Source organism: Homo sapiens, chromosome 4, assembly GCF_000001405.40.
Source record: "Homo sapiens chromosome 4, GRCh38.p14 Primary Assembly".
NCBI lineage: Eukaryota > Metazoa > Chordata > Mammalia > Primates > Hominidae > Homo > Homo sapiens.
Window position 1 is genome coordinate 30,740,706 of NC_000004.12, and position 24,054 is coordinate 30,764,759.

Sequence of the window (24,054 nt, forward strand, 5' to 3'; positions counted from 1 at the left end):
GTTTGAAAGAAAATAAAGTGAAAGTGAATTACTTATACAAGATTCTAGTTTTACCTAAATTAGTTGTTCGTTATTAAATAGTCAATTAAAATATGACCTATGTCATCTAACAGTTTTTTAAAAAATATCATTTTACTTCTTATTAAAAGCATTTATATAAATTTTTATGATACATGCTTTTTTTTCAAAGAATATGAAACATTTTTAATCAGCTAAAGTGTACATAAGCAATACCAAAGCCCATCTGAAGTTAATTCTTTATGAAAGCAATGGTGCAGTGATTTTTTTGCTGTGACATTGTGTTCTTCATGTGTGGATGATGCTTTTCATTGTAGGATTTTTTTTCAACTGAGATATCTCAAAATATGATCTTTGTAATATAACTTTGATATCGGTTATATAATGTTTTTAATACATATGATCTGAGTTGATATATCATTAGAATGATTTAAAATTTTAGACTTCAAAAACTAGTGAATTAACTATGCGAGGCTGTTTCCTTAGTCCACTTATGCATTTATAGAGTTTTGTTTACTCAACAGTAGATGGTTTTTTTTTTAGAGCCGAGTGTGTCACTCGGGCTCAGGTGATTCTCCCACCTCAGCCTCCCAAATAACTGGTGCTACAAGTGTGTGCCACCATATATGGCTAGTTAAAAAAAAAAAAATTATAGAGACAGGGTTTCGCCACGTTACCCAGGTTGGTCTGGAACTCCTGATGTTAAGCCATCTGCCCGCCTTGGCCTCCCATAGTGCTGGTGTTACAGGCGTGAGCCACTTCACCTGGCCAACAATAAATATTAAAACATTGCCACCATTGCATTTTTTCCTAGGAATGGAAATAAAGTATGCTAAAATTGTAAGGAACCCAGTCAATCCCCTGCAGGTCCCAATGCCCAACATATAACCTCCTTATCATTCTTTTGAAAGTTTAACTCCCAGTTGGAAACAACCAACTTAGAGGCAAGTAACTCTGGAAGTTGAATAGTGTTTGTTATTTGCTGACTGACTGTGGGCACCACAAATATAATCTGCAATTACTATATGAGTAGAGTATAAGCAAATTAGGGGATGGAACAATCTGGCTCGATTTGGAAAGCTGTTTCAAATTTAGTGTCTGAAAGTGGACAATTAATTTTGAATCTATAAACGTCAATGAAAATATTTGTATGCTTTCAAGGAGGGTTCAAGAGAAGAAGAAAAGATTGAGGATGCAGCGTGTTTTGCATGATCTCATTGTAAGAACTTCATGAAATTTATGATTTGCTCTGTGTCTATTATTATCATTCTTGCAAGATGTTTCCTGGATACACCAGGAATACGCTTGTGAGTCTTTGTATTCATTCAGACAAGTGGCAGTTGTTTTCAGTCCTCAGTAAAAAATAGTGTAAACACTCACCTCACACAGTTAATAATAAAATTGTATGTTTATCAGTTCTTGAGAATTCATGGCTATTAATTTTGATTTTTGATTTTTTTTTGTAAAATTAGAACAGTTATTGTCAGAGCACAAGTCAGGGCTTCCTAGTGGCAAATAATCATGTAACTGCACTGCTTAGCCAGACAAATAGTTTAATGAAGAATTTATGCTTACCATTTCAAATATTATCTAGAATATTGCTTGCTAATCATTAGATGAAGGCACACCCTGGAGGGATATGAAGTGTCTGATGTCTCCACTGTGTCGTATTGCTGTTAATAGGATAGCATATGCACATCGTGAAGGAAGAACAGACATGGCTTCGAAAAAACAAATTGATCCATATAATATAGTACTTTTACAACCTACATGTATATATGGCTATATGCATTTCTCTTTAGAAATGCTGGGTTCTACATTTTAAGCTACAGAGATGCTGTGCAAAGAAAATGAGAGTGATTTGTGTGAAGCCTAAACAAAGGAAATTCAGAAACATTTCTAGTCCTAATTATTATATCATGCATATTTGTGAAACTTGCCTGGAGTTCAGAGTTGACAGGTGTGATGCCCTTTTGATCTTTGTCATTAGTATACTAAAAGAGTGCTGCCACTTGAGCTGTGAATTTTGTTTTAATTCGGCTTCATATGAGAAAGAAAAAGAATATTCATCACATACTGCTTCATATCAAAAGAAATTGAAATGCAGAAAGATCCTCACATCTAAAAGCCACATAACTTACCATACAATATGCCATCATATTAGTGGTTACAATCCTGGCTAGGACGCAGATACAGATTTTACAAGATTTATTTTAGTCTTGATCTCTGATGTTGAGCAAATCACTCAACTTCTCTTTATCTCTGTTCTTTAATTAATTCATCTAATACTCTCTGGGAAATGTAAGACACTATAAAAATCCAAGTGACACTTTGGTTATTGATTAATATAATATCGATTACATGTTATTGTAAATAAACTAGCTTTGGGGAAGATGGTGGGAAATATAAACAAAAATAAAATAATGATGCCAAAAACTGAAGCTAAGTATTTTCCTAAGGAAAAAAATAGATTTTTCGAAAAGAATATCTTGTAACCAAAAATAGCAGAGTTACATTGTCACATTTTATTCCTAGCATTCATCTGTGGAGGAGAATTGAAGACATATTATTTTATCACTCTGCGCAAAAGCTGAAATGTCTTATTGAAGAAAGGAGAGAAAATATGCTTCAGAGCTAGAGAGGAAAGTCTTAATTTACAAAAGGAAAAAAATCAAGGATTTTGCTCAGGGGTTCAAAAAATGGCTTATTTCTTTTTTATCACTTAAGCTGGTTTCTTGCTGGGCCTTTTTACTGAATAATTGAAAAAAAAACTGGGTGGGGGAGGGACTTTTTCATCAAAGGAAAAAGATAGAAATAAAGGTACTAAGGGAATATAGATAGGAAGTTGTATCTTTCTGTACTTTTATGATTGACTACATTTTCTCCTAAACTTATAGTTGAAAAAACCTGAAAAAATATCGGCCTCTGAGGAAAATCCTACAGAATAAAACATAGCATTCTCTGCTCCTTCAATCCTTCTTCTCAATCTTTCTCTCTCATACATACACACACACACACACACACGTATACCTCAACAAGCTCAAACTACTTTATGTTTTAAATCAGTCATAATTTATCTTTGCAAACTAAAAAAAATCAGTTTGGTGAACATTGAAACTTTGGGGGAATATTGGCGTTTTTGAAAGCTGCTTTCAGAATAAGTATTATTAACTATCTCACTAGATTTCAAGTTGTGGAGGAAAATTACTAGAATAATGACGTGGGCAAAGTAGAAATTCTGTACTTGGCAATCTTCCTGAAAGACATGGGATTGTAGGCAATCTATCTCCGTTGATTCTTTAGAATGCTCTACAACAGTCAGTTTATGATAGTCTGAGGTGTTGCTCTTTTCTTTCCTCAGTGGCATCCTGTAAGCTTTTGCTATCTTCATTTTTCCCGCCAAGCTGTTTTCTCACTGTCTCAGAGGAAGTCAGAAGTCAGTATCTACCAAGCAGCCAAGTGGTAGGATTTTAAACACTGAATGTTTTTTCAACTTCAGTGTCCCAGCTGCATTGAAAAAACCATAAAGGACTAACAGACTAACAAATTTACATTTTTAAAAAAATCAGCAAGTTTCCAACATTCCTTGATTCATATAACTAAAGGTCAGTAAAAGCAAAAGAGTTTCCTTAGGCTGTGTCTCCATTAACCTATATGATTCGAAATAAGGTGGGACCATAAGTAAGACTGTAATAATAATGTAACCATGATTTACATGTCCAATGGGTGTTGTTCATTCATTTATTTAACTCCCAATTATTAATGTTCCATTACACTAGTAGTATGAAGCAGGAGCTGACAGTCTTGTAGGGGAGACAGACTTGTTCAGGAATAATTATAATGTAGTATGATAAGGGTTATAATGGGAACCATATGTACCCTGAGGAAGGACTGACTGATTCCTAGAAAGGATGACACTTGGCACTTGGCTCACAAGAGTTAGAATATGGCTTTGATTTCCTTCTCCTTTATCAGTCCTGCATCAGTCTTGCAACCTTGGCCATAGGGCATCAACTATTCTCACTGGAGCTGAGTTGGGATGTATTTTTCTTCACATTCCTCCTTTACATTTCAACAAGTTTTTGCTTTTAACAGATTGCTAATGGATTAATTCTTTAATTGTCAATCCTAGAACCAGTTAATGAGCAATTCCCATTAGCTTCACTGTATTTTAGTCATTCTATGATTTTGACCAAAACTGAACTTATTCACTGTAACTGTTCACCCTGAATTCTTCACTCTTGGCTCTAAATGACTTTTAGTTATTTTTAGATGTCAAATCACCTTCAGATGGAACTTTTGCCATCATCGAGGAGATTGAAAATAGAGGGACAGATGCTGTGAAGCGATTTCCAAAAAAACAAGGAGTTTATATAAAGAAGATATATAGACACTTTTAATCATGGAAACATTTCTGGAATGTTTACACCCTCCCATGGCAACTTCTTTGAAGAGTACAATTCATCTGAGTCATAAATTATATTTTCCTAAAAACAGTCACGTAATCTCATATTTTTACATCTTGTTTTTTTTTTTTATGAATTGGTTGTAGAGGGTGTTCTAGCCCTGGGATATCTGGAGAACAATTATAATGACTTTTTTTCTTTTACAATTTCTAATTATTTTTAGGTGGCTTTCATTTATCTAGTGCTCTCCTTTTCACTGGAGCACTTATCATGTGTCCTATTAACACTGGTACTTGTTATCAGCTGGCTTTCAGATAATCCTGCTTAAGTGACTGGTTGATGACAGCTTTTAAGATACTGCCTCTCCAAGTTATATTTCTATTCATGGAGGATTCTAGAAGAACAAAAAGCCTTGACATGAGGCTTTCTAATAAAGGCACTCATGTGGGGCATCATGCAGTATGGAAAACAGTGGAGGCAAAACAATCCTGGTCGACTTTTCTCCTGTCACTCTTGGTCCCTGCATGAAGTCTTTTAAAGCTGTAACTAACAACAGATCCCTGGTTTTGTGTCTTGGTGGAAATTAGGTACTTCTTATTTAGTGCTGATATCATCCAGGATCAAATTACTCAGTTTATTTGTGTGTGTGTATGTGTGTGTGTGTGCGTGCATGCACATATAATTTTTCTTCTAAAGAGATATTATTATTATTACTGTTAATTTTTTTTGATACAGATTCTCACTCTGTCACCTAGGCTGGAGTGCAGTGGCGTGATCTCAGCTCACTGCAACCTCTGCCTCCCAGGTTCAAGTGATTCTCCTGCCTCAGCCTCCCCAGTAGCTGGGATTACAGGCATGCACCACCACATCTGGCTAATTTTTGTAGACGGGGTTTCAGCATGTTGGCCAGGCTGGTCTTGAACTCCTGACCTCAAGTGATCCGCCTGCCTCAGCCTCCAAAAGTGCTGGGATTACAGGTGTGATCCACTGTGCCTGGCTAAAGAGATATTATTTTTACAAATCCTGAAGCAATTCAAGGTTTGAAAGACTCTCACCTCGAGGAAATAATAGTGGCTGAATACTTTAAAATTATATTTCTATCTTTTATGAAAATGATTAAAAAGAAGCCACAGGCAGAAAGACCACAACATTTAAAAAGTGTCCTGGCCCACCCTCAGTGTAAAAGATAGTAAACAAAAATCCTAATTCAATCTGGTTTTTGCAAGAACCAGATTGATTTTCTGGGAATTAGCTTTGGTTGTAAGGCCCTGCAGCGTGAAGGGAGAGCAGGGGGTAGATGTTCTGGAATGGGCACCACAGTGCAATTCGCCTTAGTTACAGTCCTTGCCTTAATATTTTGGCATCTAATCTTCCTAGTGTTTTATGCTGCCAACTTTTCCATTTTCTTGAGTCTTTATTTTTGGTGGCTATTCCTGAAATTTGCCCCATTTGCTTTCCACAAAGTCTTGCAGAATCTCTGTGTAATTCTCTCAGGGCCATAGTTTGAGCTAATGCATTGGTTGGCATAGCCTATTGAGAGGATATTTCCACTGGTAAATATTAGTGGTCTAATATGTTAACATTACTAATGACAAAATTGAAAATTGACTTGATGCCAAAAAAATTTCCTCTCACAATGGTTATTTTAACTAAGTCTGCTTGATGGAAAGAAGATTTTTTTCCTTTTCAATCATTTCACTTCTTTTATTCCTCTCCTTTCTTTCTGTTTGTGTAGAATCTAGAAAACCATAAATAGGTTTTCCTTGCACTGGCCTATCCCCATGTGAGGATTTCGAAATATAGGTCATTTGTGTCACTGGGTCATTTATACCACTGGTATAGTAGTGAATTCTTTAGTGAATCAGAATACAGCAGTATAATGAATCATTTGAACAAGATATATGAAGTCTCTTAATACTTTAAGTATTTCAATGCATTTTTTGAATTATTTTTTCCATCATGGCAATTTATATTATGATTTTCTAAAGGCATTAGCTGAAACAACCTGTATGTTGTTAAAATGTTTTAGTATGGTTTATATAGTTAATACTGAACTGGATCTAAGAAAATAGAAGCATGTTTGTACTAGACAACCAGGATCCTCTAATTCATGTCCTACATGATGTTGGCTAATGCGTCTAATTATAATTTTCCAAGTGCCTTCCAAATCTTAATTTTATTCATTTATTAGCTTCCCATTGCCCCTGTAACAAATTATAATGAATGCAGTGTCCGAAAACAACAAACTTTTTTATTTTAAATGGCTCTTACGGTCAAAAGTCAGAAATGGGTCTCACTAGGTTAAAATCAATGTGGAGGCAAGGTCATGTTTCTTTCTGTAGTGTCAAGAGGAGAATCTGTTTTCTTGTCTTCTCTAGCTTCTAGGGCTGCCTGCATTCTTTGACTCTTGATCCCCTTCCATCTTCAAAGCCAGGAATGGCTAGTAGAATTTTTCTCCTATCTCTTCATTCTGACTCTCTTCTGCCTCTCTCACATTTAAGGACACTGTGGTTACATTGGGTCCATCTGGATAATCCAAGACAATTTTATTTTCAGTTTATTTGTTTAGAAACTTTAATTCCATTTGCAATCTTAATTCTCCTTTGCCATGTAAGGTAACATATTCACAGGTTTCCTGGATTAGGATGTGGACATCTTAGGGATCGATTGTTTTGCATACTACAGGTCTGATTGGCAGACATTCCCAAAATTTGATAACCACCTGTTATAAGCCACAAAATATTATTTGGGTAGACTCCAGTCAGGCTTTCTTTTTTTCTGTGCAATCTCAACATTTTATTACTGAATAGATACTTTATTATTACTTGCACTGTATCTTGCTTTTCCCTCAGAATAATTTATTAGTGTTTTAAACAAATTCAGAGATAGCAAAAGTTTAAGCAATCAGTTATTTTTCTGTAAAATGAAAGGTTTATTCTCATATACAAGGCTGTCAAATATTTTGAAATGTGAAAAAATGTTTCACACTTTAATAGGAGCACAAGACTGGAGAAACTTTTACAAACTATTTATTCAACTTATCAAGTGCTTGTTACATACAAATACTCTGCTTGTTGGATGTGATCTAACTGACCTGCTACAATCAGAGGCCGAGAAGGGGTGGTGAGGCCAGGCTTGAGATACAGTAGGTCTCATCCTACTTCTTTGAGCTTCAGTATCCATCTGAGTTTGTTTTCTGTGCTGTAACAGAATGCCACAGACTGGGCAATTTATAAAGAAAAAAGATTTATTTGGCTCACAGTTCTGGTGGCCGAGAAGTCCAAGAGCATGATACAGGCATTTAGAGAGAGTCCTCTCATGTTGGAAGGCAACACATCGTGAGTGAGCACATTAGACAGAGAACAAATGGGGCCAGCCTCATTCTTTTTATCAGGGTCTCACTCCTGAGATAACTAATCCACTTGAAACACAGCATTAATCTCTTTGTGAGATGAATATCCTTATCACCTAATCACTTCTAAAAGGCCCTACTACCTAATACTATTACAATGGCAATTAAGTTTTTGATATACGAATTTTGGGGCGACACATTCAAACCATAGCAGTACCATCTGAACACTGGGAATAGCAATATCATTAATTGACATCCTATGTGATATTGGCCATTCAGGGGTGTTGTGAGGGTTAAATTTGATAATGATGCACCCGTCTTGGGATGTACAGGAACTCAACAGAAGATAATGTCTTTACTCTCTAAGGAGTGGCCTGACAATGATGCCACTGAATGGACAGCCTGATGGGTGTTCTCTGGGACAACTTAAAGGAAATAAGATGTAGTTATATCTGGCACTAGTCATAATTCTTTCCTCTCTTACAACTATGTCATATGACCTTTTTTCTTGCAAGAGTCCATATTAACCATTATTATACTAGTACTTATCAACAGGGGAAGGGATATGTTATGAATTGGAGAAGGGCATTTAGTCGTAGCTTCCTCAAATGCATTCGATTTATTCCTATATGCATTTTCTTTGGAGATAATGAATCCAAGATAATGTCTCCTTCTAAAACAAAAGAAAGAAAAAGTAAAAGAGAAATATTGACTATGAAGAAAAGGTGTGGTTTCACCACTCTCATCAATTAATGCCCCCTCAGATACTAATGGAAATATTACCTGTTACTGCTTTGAATTCATAACTTTTTTCATGGCACACATGGCTGACATCATTTCTTAAAGTCCGATAGCAGTCTGTGTCTTGTATGAATGAGAAAATTTCAATCGGTGCAAGTTTTTTTCTTCGTCATGGTAGTGGGAAGAGAGGAGGAAAGATAGAACAGTCTCTGGAACTCTGAAACGCATTAAGCATCCTTCTTGATTTAACATAAAATCATCAAATACATGAGTATGCCTGGAGTTATTCTATTTTTTTCTATTGCCTGGTGGTCTTTTTTCTGTAGAAGAGGTTCAGAATACATAATCTTTGAAAAGGATTCCAATTGTCAATACAATATGCCTGCAACACTGCTCTTCTAAGGGGAAGAAAAAGAGATAATAGATGATTGACTGTATCACTTACATTTCATGTTATGCCCAGAGAACTCCACTATGACTTTTGTATTTTATCCGAAACCAGTGAATCCTGATGATAAAACACGGGCATTTAGGAAAATAGTAATAAAAGGAAGTTTAGTTTAATAATGTTTATAAGGCCAGTGCAGTACAATGAAAATTAGATTATGATTTTGGTTTTAAAAATTCCATATGTACCATTTCTTTGTAGAATTTTTAGGTGCAGGATTATTAGGTGCTGTAACTGTTTCATTTTCTAATCTGTAAAAATGATTATAATAACATCTATTTACACAGTTCTGGAGCTTAAATGGGAGTAAATAACTGAAAGTAATCTGCAAGTTTCTATACAAAAGGTATTTATATCTAGTGGGTAGATGGCAGGGATGTTGCTAAACCTCCTATAAGGCACTGGGCAGCTCCTTGCAACATATACTTATTCTGCATAGAATGTAGATAATGCCATGTTAGGGAATTTCTGATCTATAATGAGTAGTACCCACTCTCTTCCACCTTTAGGCTAAAGCACTAGAGAGAGGGAGAAGTTAATAGATTATGAAAACAGAGAAATTTGGAGAAGGCTGTCCAAAGTGGCCCTGAAGGCTGGAAATCCTGTTTCTTTTCTCTCTTTTTAGTATGGGCTAGCAATTTCTCATTGGCTTAACCTTGCTATAAGTCAGAGGTCAAGGGACCTTGTGATTGCAGTTCATATTGGTCAACCTCCTGGGCATAGAACATGATCACAATAAATGAGAGTGAGAGTGGAAAGAATAGGTGTATATGAGTCTAGATACCTAGACTCAACCATTAATCCCTCTCTCAAACTAACATTCAACTCTGTGAATCTGTGAGGAAATGATGTCTGTGGCGAGGTTCATCTATACGCAGAGGGAAAAGTTAACCCTGGGTGCAAATTTGGAGAGGAGGAAAATTAGTTCCTAGAGATATTTTGTGTTTGCTCACCATAATAAAACAGTGCATTTGTTTTTGCCACTTTCTACTGTATGCCCTTATCCATTATGTGCATTCATTAACTTACCAAGTTACTGAGAACATGCTGCATTCTAGGTACTGGCCCATGTACCGAGAATACAAAAAATGGTTATGAATGGTGCCCACCCCGAAGCAGCTTTAAGTGTAACGCGAAAGACAGTCATATGAACAAACTATTATAACACTTGGAGCATTTATATATAAAGTACTATGATAGAGAATGGAAATACTATTTTTTTTTCCAGGATGTAGAAAGTTCTTGCAGAATAGGTGATATTTACAGAGTTGTTAAGGAAAGGCAGGTACTTTTTGGTGCAGGGAAGGAAAAAAACGCAAGACTAAAAATTGTCCTGTGTTATGGTGCAGAAGCAGTGGACAATGAGGCCATAAAATGAGTTAGGTTTTTATTTCAAAGACTTTTTGTGGCCATGTTAAGATATTGAAACTGTTACCTCAAAGTGCTGGAGAATCGTGCACAGGTGATTTTGTACCTGTGCAAACTCATTTAATTAAAAACTACTTCCAACTTCTATAACCTTGTATGATATGAGCTTTTTGGAATTTTGTCTTTAAATTAAAATCTTTCAAAGTAACGTGGTAAAATTAATGCTGTGCATATTTATTTGAGTGAGCTTAACTCAGTGAAAATTTTACTGAGGCATTTTGATGTTTAAAAGTGATTACACTTAATACATATCCTTTGCTAGGCTATTTTGATTGGAGTGATATAGGATCAAAGATCTCAGAAATATTTCGAGCAAAAGAGTTCTTCTGTTTCCCAAGTATAAGCATTCCTTAAATCCTAAAACACATTGGAAAATATTTCTTATATCATTATCTTTTAGAAAACTGTGAAATAGCCATAGTTGGGGAATAGATTTAAGGAAAGTTTATAGGTTATATAATTGGATCCAAATATTATATTATGTGGATGTTCCTAAATTTGACAGTATTAAAATATGAGTATATATATATATTTTGCATGGTCTCTGAAAAGTTTATTAATCTTTGTGACCTCCACAGAGCTAGGTACTGTGCTTTGTAGGTGCTTAATAATGCTTTGGAACTGATATTGTAGATTTCACCTTTGGCTAGACAATTTTATTTTGAAGGAATTTCAACTTAATAAATATATTTTAATAGGGCTATACATTTTTTCCAGTAATATTTACTTGTATATTTCCCCTTAGTCCTAACAAATATTTTGAGAATGAAAGTAAGGAAAATATTTTCACCATGGAATGTCCTTCCTATTCGCTGTCATTTTTAAAATGGAATTTTCTCCTGTTTCAAAATAGTAAACTTGTTGCCATGATGGTTTTTAGGGTAGAATAAGATTTTTTCTCTAAATAATCTTAGACATAAAAAACTAAAAGAGCATGATTGTCATTGAAAAAGAATATGTCTAGGTAGTTCCTATCTTTCCACTCTTCCACGCTTCTTTACTTTGCTTTTCTTTATTACTTTTTTTCTTTCTTTCCCTTTTTTTTTCCTTCAAGATGGAGTCTCACTCTGTCGCACCCAGGCTGGAGTGCAGTGGCGTGATCCCGGCTCACTGCAACTTCCGCCTGCGGGTTCAAGCGATTCTCCTGCCTCAGCCTCCGGAGTAGCTGAGATTACAGGTGCCTGCCACCATGCCCAGCTAATTTTTCGTATTTTTAGTAGAGACGGGGTTTCACCATGTTGGTCAGGCTGGTCCTTCTTGGCTTCTTTGGCATGATGGAGCAGGTTCATGGATGATTTTTCCAACACATCTCACACCCAAGTAGGTGATACCAGGAGTGAGGAAGTAGTGACAGCTACCTGGTGTCTCCTCTTTTTATCCCTGAACCTGAAACTTGAAAGAATTTCATTATAATTCAGTAGTTTAGCCTTAATATTTCTACTTCTCAAAATAATAAAATTTCAAAGCTATCTTTTGATCTAAATGTGAGGAATGTTAACAGTGCACGTATGTATTAGAAGATATGGACTCTTACTTTTTTTTTTTTTTGCAAACTTTATAAATTGTTTTCTTTCATTGCTGAAGGTCAGAATCTCAGTGATTAATGGTGACTAAAGAAGTTTGTGACAGAAATTTAACCCAGATACTCACACATCCAGTCCTATCTTCCTCTTACCTGTAGGGGCAAAAAAAAAAAAAAAAAAAGAAAGAAAAAGAAAAAAAAGAAAAAAAGAACTCTGGAAAATGGGACAGATTTTATAACTAAAGATCAGCCCCACATATACTGTAGATATTTAAATAAGTGGTAATTCATTCTGCAAGGAATAAGTAAATGGCATATTACTGTAACCCAGTTAAAAATATTAGACTTCAACACGGAAGCATTTGAACTTGGTGTCATGGATTTTGGGAAGACCTGAAAGGAATAAGAAGTGTTGAGATTCCAGGAATCTTTGATTAAAATATATTAATGAAAGTGAAAGAGTTCTCAGTGGCTGGTATGGGAGATAAAATACCATAAATGTCAGCATCATGCCTGGGAGACCCTTTAAGTCGTTATAAACAATAATGGGCCTATGAAAGACAAGGTCAGAGTATTTCTCTTAACTTCTCCATACAGAGTCTTTTTATTTCTGGTACATATCTCATTTCCCTTCAAGTATCTCTAACTGTAAAAAGAGAGATAACCTTTACTACTTTCTCTGTTCTTGATAAGGAACCAGAATGAAAATGCCTCAGTTTATATACATGGTCGTGGTAAGCTGGGAACAGCATATTTTCTTGAGTGACAATATGGTTAAATTAGCAAGAAACATAGAAGTGTATTTTCACATAACTTGCACATATTGCTTAGTTGATGTATGAAGGTGCATTATAGGCAAAAATGAGTCATTTCTTAGGCAGGCACTTAGTACGTGCAAAGGCTAGCAGTAGCACGCCATATAAGGTAGCATTTCAGGGGCTATACACCCTTTGGATTTTTGACACAGGGCTCAAGGTAGATTTGGGCTAAGCTTCCATGGCAAAGACATGTTTTTGGCTCTGGTTGTCATTCAGTAAATATTTATTAAACCCCTTGACTGTTTTTAGCTCTGTTCTTATTCTTGTGAAGCTTACCTTCTAATTTTGAATGAAGAAGACATAAACATTTATTACATATGCAGTGCATTTTAAGAATTGTGATAGAGCCTTTTTTTAAGAATTCCTCCCAAAAAAATAATTACCAGTACTTTCTGATTTCATTGCACATATAAATATGGAATGATATTGGAAGAGAAAAACATTACATTTGTAACTTCAAATAAAGCATGAATTAGATTTGAATATTATGAAATTTACCAACAAAACCTTGATTTTATAGATAAGTGTTACTGATCATAGAAACTACCAGACATAACAGCACTGTATACTTTTAAAATATATTTTTATAAGTTACATTGAAACCCTATACACACGCTTCTCCAATTGTAGTCAGGTTGGGCGGTATGTGATAACTAAATTTTTATGAAGCAGGTAGCTTCTTCTTATCTATTCAAAACTGTCAAGATTTGCTGCAAACACTAGGTGTGTGTGTGTGTGTGTGTGTGTGTGTTTTTTCTGGAGGGAGGAGGAAGTAGTAGAAGAGGTTACTATTAGCCTCCACCATGACTCATTAGAAAATGTCCTGAAAAAAGTTTAGCTCTGTATCAGACAATATACAGATAATTCCCAAGTCATTTGTCAAGTGAAAAAGAAAAGAGGTTGTTATAATCAAGCAGCTCCAGGGACATGAGCAGAAGTGTATCACTTTATTATTTTCCCTTCTACCGAAAGCATGATATATTAATTTATTTTAGATTGTTTAGGGTCCAAGGTTTTCTATGCTTACAAAAGTTATGAATTAAAGGTCCTAAATTGTAAGTCCTTAATGTGAATTAAATTCACACCCAATACAGGAAATATTAGTTGGAAACAATAAATCTTGTCAGGCTCAAGGTACTTTTATTGCTGTAAAAAAAATGAAGGTCACACAATAATACTATTCAGGGAAATAGGTAAGACATTCAAAGAGATTCATCATTTTCTATATGACACACAGATACCCTTCTAAAGGATTTCAATATTTTATCTTCAATTCAGTTTGGTATTTAAATATTTTAAGTCAATCCTTTAGAAACTTATATGTACTTTTTTTTTGACATTATCTAATTACATAGCTTAACAAGTAGATGGGCAGTGAAGATTTTTGATGGGTGTACCTAATTGTTTGGCAATATTCAGATGGCTTAAACAATTTTATTTATAATAGAGCTTAAGGAAGTCCACATTGATGGGGAATCTATTATACGCCAGACTCCAGGCAAGGTGTGTGTAGGCTGATTATGCCATTTCATCCTTATGCTGCTGATGGATAATATTTTTATGGTTGTATTCACAGATGGAGAAACTGAGGTTTGGGGTTTAACAACTTTTCAAAGATCATACAGTGGCTAAGATGTAGAGCTGGGTTGGAACCTAGGGCTAGCTGACTCCAGAGCTTCTTATGTCCGTTTAAGATTAGTCACAGACCTCACCGAGTATCTCATCATATGCGTGCCATCCTATAATATTAATAGGGGCATAAAACTTACATGTGCTTGATCTTAGAAATTTAAACAACTCAAGTGTTTGAAAAATTACAGATGTTTCTCTGTTTATGAATAAGTATGGTGCTCTCCCTTTCTTCCTCACAATTTTGACTTGCCTTATAATTGCTTTTATTGAGAGAAATTTACAGGGAAAACCCTGTTATAAACAAACTTCTTTTTGGATCCTGAAAGTTGCATAGATTTCAACTCCTTGTAGTCCTTCCTATCTGCTCTTGACAGAAAAAAAAGAGAGGCCTCTAGCCTTGAGGCCTGAGTCCACAAAACATTTTTGTCTTCCTGTTTTCTCAACAAATACTTCTATAGCCACAAAGTAGTCCCAGACACTGTCCTGAGAGCTTTACAAGGGGGAGATTGACTCCTGTAGTTATCATAACAAGCCTGTGCAGAAAAAATGGTTACCATCCCCCACTGTCTTAGTCTGTTTTTTGTTGCTCAGGAATACCTGAGGCTGGGTAATTGATGAAGAAAAGAGGTGTATTTGGCTCACAGTTCCACAGTCTGTACAGGAAGCATGGAACTGTTATCTCCTTGGCTTCTCATGAGGGCTTTTGTACTGCATTAAAACATGGTGGAGGCCAGGTGCGGTGGCTCACACCTGTAATCCCAGCACTTTGGGAGGCTGAGGAAGGAGGATCAGGAGGTCAAGAGATCAAGACCATCCTGAACAAGATGGTGAAACCCCGTTTCTACTACCAATACAAAAATTAGCTGGGTGTGGTGGCGTGCACCTGTAGTCCCATCTACTCAGGAGGCTGAGGCAGGAGAATCACTTGAACCCAGGAGGTGGAGGTTGCAGTGAGCCGATATCGCACCACTGCACTCCAGCCTGGTGACAGAGTGAGACTCAGTCTCAAAAACCAACCAACCAACCAACAAACAAAATATATGGCGGAGGTCAAAGTGGAAACATGCACCTGTGAGGAGGGACTAAACCTAAGAAAGCTTTATAACAACCCACTCTAGATGGAATTAATTCATTCCCTTGGGAACCAGTCTGGTTTTGGGAGTGTAAGAACTCACTACCTCAAGAATGGCACCCCGCTGTTCATGAGGGATCTTCCCTCATGACCCAGACACCTCCCACTAGTCCTTACCTCCCAACAGCACCACACGGGGGATCAAATTTCAACATGAGATTTGGTGGGGACAAACCAACTATGTCCAAATGATAGCACCCACCCGGAAGATGAGGAAACTGAGACAAATACAGATTCAGTAACTTCAGGTCATATACTTAGTAAACGGTAATAATGGAACTTGAATCCTTAATGTCTGATGCTAGAGACCTTGGTCTCAACCATTACATTGTGCTGACACCCCGAATACGGTACAACCTCTTCTTATCTTTCATGTTTCTGTGCATGTTAAGAAAATTTTGCTTGTGTCAACTTAAAAAATGCTCAGGCTGTTTGTTATCCCTGTATGTTACGCCACTACCTATATTTCTCCTAAAACATTGTTTCATTACTCATTCTCTTCCTGTCTTTTGTTCAGTCTCTCTCCCCATTAGTTCTTGCTTAGATGTCTAACATCTTAAACATGTACCAACTTCTTCACAGCTCTCTCCCACCATAAAATGGAGTCTTCCTTTGTACGTATTTATTTCTTCATCTCCCTTTTGGCTGTGAGCTCACTACTCTCTGGCCTACGCCTTAATCTCCTTTTCCAACTGTTTTTTGCTAAGTCTCCTCTGACTGAGAGGCTTGGATCTTTCAGCCTTACTGTGCCACTGTTTGTAGGAAGCTCTGCTCCCAGAGCTTACAGTAACAGCTGTCACTATATCCAGGGGGTACTTCTACCTCCAAACAGTTCTACATCTTTTTCATCCTTTCAATGTCACATTCCCAAAGCTTCCATTGAGTTACACTCCTTATTATAGCAGTCACCACCTATCAAAAGAGCTTCTATTTTCAAATGACAGTTGGTTTCTGTATTTGTGCACAAGACTCAATGTGTAATGTGTGCAAAGTCAAACTCACTATCTCCCTGTAGCTGCACACCCATTCTGCTCCTTTTTCTAGGCTTCATCCTCAAATGTTCTACCTTTCATGATGCCCTAAGAGTTATTCCAAAAAAATAGATCTTGCTTTCTGGATTGTCCAAGTTGCTCCTGTGTGTAAAAGCCTTCAGTAGCACCAATAGGATAAAGCGAACACCGTGAGCAGGGCAGAAAGGCCCTTAGCAAATGATTATCAATCTGCATTTTCTGACTTTCCTCGCAGGCACTCTGCCTAGCCCTGCTCAGGTATGCTAGCCATACCTAGCCTATTTACTATTTGCCCAACAGGATTTCCCCTGTATCAGCTGTGTGCCTTTGTACATTCCTTTTTGCCTGTATGAAACATCCTTTGATCCTTCTCCATTTCTCAGAAACACACTCATATTTCATGACTCAGCTCAAATGTCACTTCCTATGCAATGCTTTCCCTGCCTCCCACGCCAAATGAGTTGTTCTCCTTCCTTTAGTCTTCATTCGACATACACTAATCACTTTGCATTCCAATTAAATTTTTATATGCCTATTCCCGCAATTATGTGACCTTTTCAAGAAAAAGGACTGTCTAATTTATCACTGAATACCCAACGTTGCATACATAGTAGGCTCTCAATAAAAGCTTGTAGAATGATTGGAGTGATCAGATTAGTGACTGAAAGCAACAAACATTCATATAATGCATATGTACATGCTCTGTGCCAGGCAGTGCTCAAGGTGTTAGGACGGGAAAGAACAGCCTTGCTAAAAATCACTGCTATCACGGGGAGCTTACATTCTAGTAGAGAAATGTGCATGATTAATAAGACATTGATAAGCAAAGTGTACACTTAGATGGTGGCAAATGTTATGAAAAAAAATGCAGAGACAATGTAGGGAGTTCTGAGGACCGTGAGGGCTGCAATTAGCTATCAAGAAAGGCCTTGATAAGAAGGTGATGTTTGAGAAAGACCTAAACTGTAGGAGGGAGGAAACCATGTGAATATTGAGCATCTCACCACACAGAGAGAACAGGAAGATCCAGGTAGAAACCTGTATGGGATACTTGAAGCCTGGTCCTGGAGACCAGCATGGTGGGAGAGGGGTTGGGGAGTATGGGAGTATTAGAAAGGAAGTGTTAGGAAGAAAGTTCAGAGAAGAGGTTATGTTGTGCATGGTTTTACCCTAAGTGTCATGAGATGCCATTGGAAGACTGGCAGACAAATGGAATACTTCATAGAATTTAAAACATTTATCTTACAGTTCCAGTATGAGCAGTTACTGCCCGTAAGTTTGTAACAATAGCTTTGAAAAGAGCATCGAAGGCTCTTGATATTGTGGTTCATTTTGCCATACATATATATTTGAGGACAGCCAACATTCACAAAGATAAAAACCACATCTCCATCTGCAATAGCATGACAGTTGTGTGAGCACTAAAGGGCAGATAGGACAAATGACCCTGCCTGCATCGGTGGACAGGAAGGGAGAAAAGCATGGCTGGGAATGCAGGTATTGCACTAAGTATTGCACTAAATTAACTACATAACTGTGGATTGCTCATTGCTTTTTTATATACTGCTTAATTTGGAAGGAAGAGAGTATTTCATATAATAAATTATTGATGCAGTTATTCTAATTGAGTAGGGTATTTCTTAGAAACTCTAGCACATTAAGATAGATAATTTTTTTGTTGATATGTGGCTTACCTGTTTTAATTTTTTGTATTTATTTGAAGAAGTGTTTTTTTTTTTTTTTTTTTGTGATACAGTCTCACTCTGTCACCCAGGCTGGAGTGCAGTGACGTGATCGCGGCTCACTGCAACCTCCGCCTCCCAGGTTCAAGTGATTCTTCTGCCTCAGCCTCCCGAGTAGTTGGGATTACAGGTGCCCGCCATGACGCCCAGCTAATTTTTGTCCTTTTAGTAAAGATGGGGTTTCACCATGTTGGCCAGGCTGGTCTTGAACTCCTGACCTCAGGCCATCCGCCCGCCCTGGCCTCCCAAAGTGCTGGGATTACAGGTGTGAGCCACTGCGCCTGGCCTCTTTGGGGAAGCTTTTTAAGTGGTCATGTCAAAGATGTCAGCATTCTTCTTTATGGATAAGAACAGAAATCATTCTGTTCATCCTCTGTCCGAATTTCTTGTTGCAATTTCATAGTTACTTTGAGCTCTACACTTTTCTGGTGAAATAGAATGAGTTTCTTAGAATTCGGTGAATCGGCTTTCAGGAAATTCTGGGAGTAAAGGATCTTTGAAAGACGAAGAAACTCAATTAAGCAGTCAACTTTATTCCAATCTGTGCTCTCAAGAGAAAGATAAAGTTCATATTTTCTAGGAAGAGTGAAAAGATAGAAGTTGAATATTAAGTTATTGGATGTCAGGGGTTTATCTTTGTGTGAAAAGAAAAAAATCTGTTTAGAATTTTTCTTCATCTTAGCCACAATTTCATTACATTATAAATAAATATATTGAAATGTATAAAATACAGCATATATATACACATACATATATAACAAAATCTTTCATTAAATGAAAGATTCATATAAATGAAATCTTTATTAAATGAATTAACAGTGGTTAAGTGCTAGATTATTTAAGAAAGTGCCACCATTGTATTTGTAATACCGGAATCTGTTTTGTAAGATTAGATACATCTTACATATTACTTTTTGATCATAACTCATGTGGCTCAAAACCCTAGGGTGATGTTTCTCTTGGTTTGGGCTCTACTCCCCAATTCCCTCATAATGAAACCCAGGACAATCTTTTCATGAAACCCTCCTTTCAAAATAGTGGCACCTCCTCTCTACATTGGAAATAGGTGGGCATGAAACATAAACACATATGAAAGCTACTGATAAGAAAAAAAAAAACTTAAGAAGTACGGTAGTTAAGCTTCAAGTGCCATTGTTCCTCTGCTTCTCAAGGTTAGTATCCCCCAGTGTTTCTACATGTTTCTCAGCCTTCTATCACAAAAATTTCTCCTACAATGCCTTGTCACAGCTCTTGCTGAAGGAATGGAACATTAAGGAGGAAGAAGTAGAGAGGAGCAGGGGAAGGCAGTCTTGTGCTGCTCAAAACACTTATCAAGGTCCACTTCCTACCCACTATCCCTAGCCCTTCAAGAGGTCACTCTTCCGGCACAGGGCACTTAGGCAAGAGAAAGAAATAAAGGTATTCCAATAGGAAGAGAGGGAGCCAAATTGTCTTTGTTTACTGATGACATGATCCTATATCTAGAAAACCCCATGATTTCAGCTCCAAAGCTTCTTAAGCTGATAAGCAACTTTAGCAAAGTCTCAAGATACAAAATCAATGTGCAGAAATCACATGCATTCCTATACACCAACAACAGACAAGCAGAAACCCAAATCATGAGTGAACTCCCATTCACAATTGCCACAAAGAGAATAAAATACCTAGGAATACAGCTAACTAGGGAAGTGAAGGAACTCTTCAAGGGGAACTACAAACCACTGCTCAAGGAAACCAAATATTTCATTATGCCATGTCATTTCCTAAAGGGCACCAAGACACTGATAAGGTCTCCCAACCAAGGGCATCTGAGCATGGCTATACAGTGAGATTTCCTTGAGTTTTGACTTCTCTCCCCTCCTTTGACAGCTCAGCTGTGTGCCTTACACAGACACATCTCCAAGAGTGAATCAGAAAGGGTCTTACAGAGTGGGGTGCCTTCTTCCCAATCATTCTCTTTGGAGTTCTGTTTACACCCTGCATTAAGAAAGACCCACAAGCTTCCATTCAACTTGAAAAATGAGACGTCTGTAAATTCTCCTTAATCTTGATGTTCACCATTTGGTTGAGTGCTTGCCTAAAGGAACTGCTCTCTGTTTAATAGGCACCCCTTTCTTGTATTGTATTCTAGTCTCATTAGGCACTAAGTAGGAATAGCCAAATCTCTCAGGACTTTTAGCTGGAACATCCAGATGAGGATGGGTTCTTGGCAGTACCTAATGTATGCAGCCTTAGGGAAATAGTTTTTAAATTCTTACCTGCAAAAGATTCACTAACAGAGCTTTTAGGAAGCGCAGCTCTCCTCTGCTTATCTCAGTCATGGGCCAGGAGCTTTCACTTTTACAAAGTACACTGGGCTCTTCTTATGAAAATACTCTAGAGTAGCAGTGTCCAGTGAAAATATAATGCAAGTCACATATGTAATTTTTAATTTTCTAGTTGCCTTATTTATGATTATTTTTAAAAGATGAAATTAATTTTAATTATACATATCATTTAACCTCATATATCCAGTATACTATCATTCAATATTTAATCAATGTAAAATTATTAATGAGATATTTTATATCCTTTTAAAAATTTAATCTTCAAAATCTGATATATATTTTATAATTACAGCACCTCATATCAATTCTTACTAGCCTTGTTGTAAGTACTCAATAATCATATAAAGCTAGGGACTGCCATATGAGACAGCATAACTTGGGATAATTACATTCAAATCCAGTAAATAAACCTGCAAAGTGGAAAGGTCCAAATTCAATCACTTGACTGTCTAAATAAGAATATGCTTTATTTTGTGTTGTCATGTGCTAAGTTCTTAAAATGAATAATATAAAATCTTACAACAGTAATATGAATTAGATATGCTATTTAATCTATTTGGTAGAGAAAAAAATTCTCGCTTTAGATGTCGATTTGCTCAAACTCACAGAGAAGTGAGAGACAGAATTAGTTTGATGTGACCTCAGAGCATACCTGCCAACCACCCTTGAGTACCCTCTTCAACACTATGCTTGTTTCTTGTATAATTGAGTGAAATTCAGGCTTTTCTCCAATGTTAAAGTCTTATACATGATCAAGGCCATGTTTGATATAAATATATAATAAAATAGAATTCAGAGATAATGTGACTGCATTTATATATTAATCCTGTATGCCACTTGACTTCCTAGAATTGAAATAAGCACCCTTGGAATGGAATGCTTGGGAGAATCGGCTATAAAAGCTGTGTGTTATTAAAATGCTGAAACTTTACACCAGTAGTTTTTTTCTTAGCAATTTTGTATTTCTTAAAATTCGCATTTTTTCCCCTGAGGCAATAGGAAACATTATAACAAATAATATAAAAGATCATTTAAGGATGATTATTCATTGTTTTAAATATATGAATGATTAGATAAATAACTAAACTGATCCAATATGCAATAAAACTATAAGAGCTTCAGTTTTTCAAGAGCAAGACTCTTAACATATTATCATTCGTTCAAAGAAGGTTATTTGTCGGAAGTTATTTACTCTTCTTTTCCCTTGCTTCCTGAACTCATGATATGAAATCTTCATTTATTTTAGTTCTAACTTGGCTGATTAAAAAAAAGGATTCCCTTTGCTTTTAATATTGCTGAATATTTGAAGATCGATTGAAGCTATTAAATTAAAATAGTTTACCCCTTGAGGATTTTCAAAGACCAAAGAAAATATTAGTTTAAATGGAAAGCATTAGTCTTCTATTATTACTGTCTTGGACTGGATTGCATTAGATCTTCAGAGTAAGGCAGCAAGTGCTTTATAACTGTAAAGCCAGTTGTAAAATGTGGAATTAAAGCAAACACAAAATCAAACAAACATGGTATTTCTCCCAATAATTATAAGTTTACTGGATGCTTATTTATCTGTCATTAGAATGGACATACAATCAGAACATCCCAAACTTGTTTACTCACTCCAATGAGATGGGCAGAGGTAAATGGCAAACAGCAATTTAAATATAAATATATTTAGCCTAGGCCAGGCATGGTGGCTCATGCCTGCAATACCAGCACTTTGGGAGGCCTAGGCGGGCGGATCACCTGAGGCCAGGAGTTCAAGACCAGCCTGGCCAACATGGTGAAACCCCGTCTCTACTAAAAATACAAAATTAGCCTGTAATCCCAGCTACTCAGGAGGCTGAGGCAGGAGAATCGCTTGAACCTGGGAGGCAGAGGTTGCAGTGAGCTGCCATTGCACATTGCACTCCGGCCTGGGGACAAGAGTGAAACTCCGTCTCAAAAAAATAAAAGCATAAATAAATATATTTAGCCTAAAATGGCTGTATTATTTTTAAATCTTTATTTTCTAATTCTGACTGTATATTGATTAGTCAATGAGTAAGATTTCTCAGAAACATATTGCTATAAAGTCTAACTACAGTTACAATTTTTCATAGATGATTCACCACAGTGATCTTTATCTAAACAATGCAGGGGAAATTATTTCGAATGTCAACAGCTCTCTTAAATTGGCCATATAAAATCATCTACTTATATGTAAGATAAACACGGAGGCTTAGAAACTTCTCAACATTGAGGTACATTCATTACAAGTCAGTAAATCAGTGTTTCACTAGCTTCAGCTGTTACCTCATGGGTATAGCTGTCTAGTCAGAAGTAGGAAATATAATCCCACAGTGCTCTGTTAGCCTGGGATTTCAGGATCCGTTTTGTTTTTGATCTCAGTATTTCTCAAATCCCTTTTCATTAATGATGAAATAGGGTCTCAATATCTTAAGCTACCATTTGGAAAGAGAAAAAGGAAGATTACACTGTTCACATCCTAGTCGTTTGTGTATCGTCTTCCGTTTCTTCTTACTTTACTATAAATACTTACTTGCATTTTGATATATTTACACATTTTGAACATTAATTCACTGTGTAACCTTTACTATTTGGAATGAAAATGAAACTGAGAAACAAGCTAAAAAGAGCACTGAGCAACTGAAAGAGGTGCTACCAAATGTATGTAGGAAATCTCACATAATTCACTGATGTCTAAATCCTCACTCGGAGCTTGTTTCTTTTCATTTAATCTATGACTGTACTAAATATACTTACTTTCCTACTCTTAACTTTGTTAAAGCAGCCAATTAGGATTTGAAAGATCCTAATCTTTCAGGCATTAGTAAGACATACATATTTCAATTTCAGTAGTAAATGATACCCATATGTAAGGAAAATATGTGTCCAGGAGAGAATCCTTACCTGGATTCGTAAAGTTACACACACTTCATTGACATCAGATGGCCCTGACCCAGCATATGTAGTATTTGTAATGATAATGAGTCTTCATGTATTCTGCAAGAATTCAGATCAAGGTGCAATGCGTTTAACCACACAAATGGTTAAACGTATGCTTAATGGGTACTTTACCATATAGTTTTAATTTCCATTAGCATCAACGAGCCATCCTTGTATCTAACTTTAAGTAGTGGTTCAGGAATATAGTTTTATAAACTGTTTATCATTTATCATTTATCCCAAGATATTTATTTATGCAACAGTGCCTAGTCAATTCTTGACTGAAGATTACCCAAACATGTGAAAATAAATGTTACTGTTAAATCTTTATATGACATTGAAAGAAACGAAGTTTGTAAATGCACTGTGTTAACTTTGAAATACCAGCCTTAGGTTTCACTAGATCTTTATTGGTATATGAGATGAAGACCTAAGTCTAATTCTACCTAATGCACACAATTGACCTGATTATATGTTTGGTGTTTGTTTGTTTGTTTGTTTGTTTGTTTGTTTTGACAGAGACTTGCTCTGT

General features: G+C 36.4%; 1 protein-coding gene across 2 annotated transcripts in view, besides 1 other annotated feature; it reads left to right on the forward strand.

Annotated features, from left to right (window-relative positions):
* The window catches only part of PCDH7 (protocadherin 7), a 426,432-nt gene that overhangs the window by 20,337 nt on the left and 382,041 nt on the right, over positions 1–24,054 (forward strand). The window lies entirely within an intron of this gene.
* Positions 16,232–17,431: an enhancer, noted in NCBI's record as "P300/CBP strongly-dependent group 1 enhancer chr4:30758559-30759758 (GRCh37/hg19 assembly coordinates)". NCBI's record gives its function as "activates an origin of replication core promoter dependent on BRD2, BRD4, P300/CBP, MED14 and CDK7 cofactors, with strong dependence on P300/CBP, by STARR-seq in HCT116 cells {active_cell/tissue: HCT116}" and the evidence as "EXISTENCE:reporter gene assay evidence [ECO:0000049][PMID:35650434]".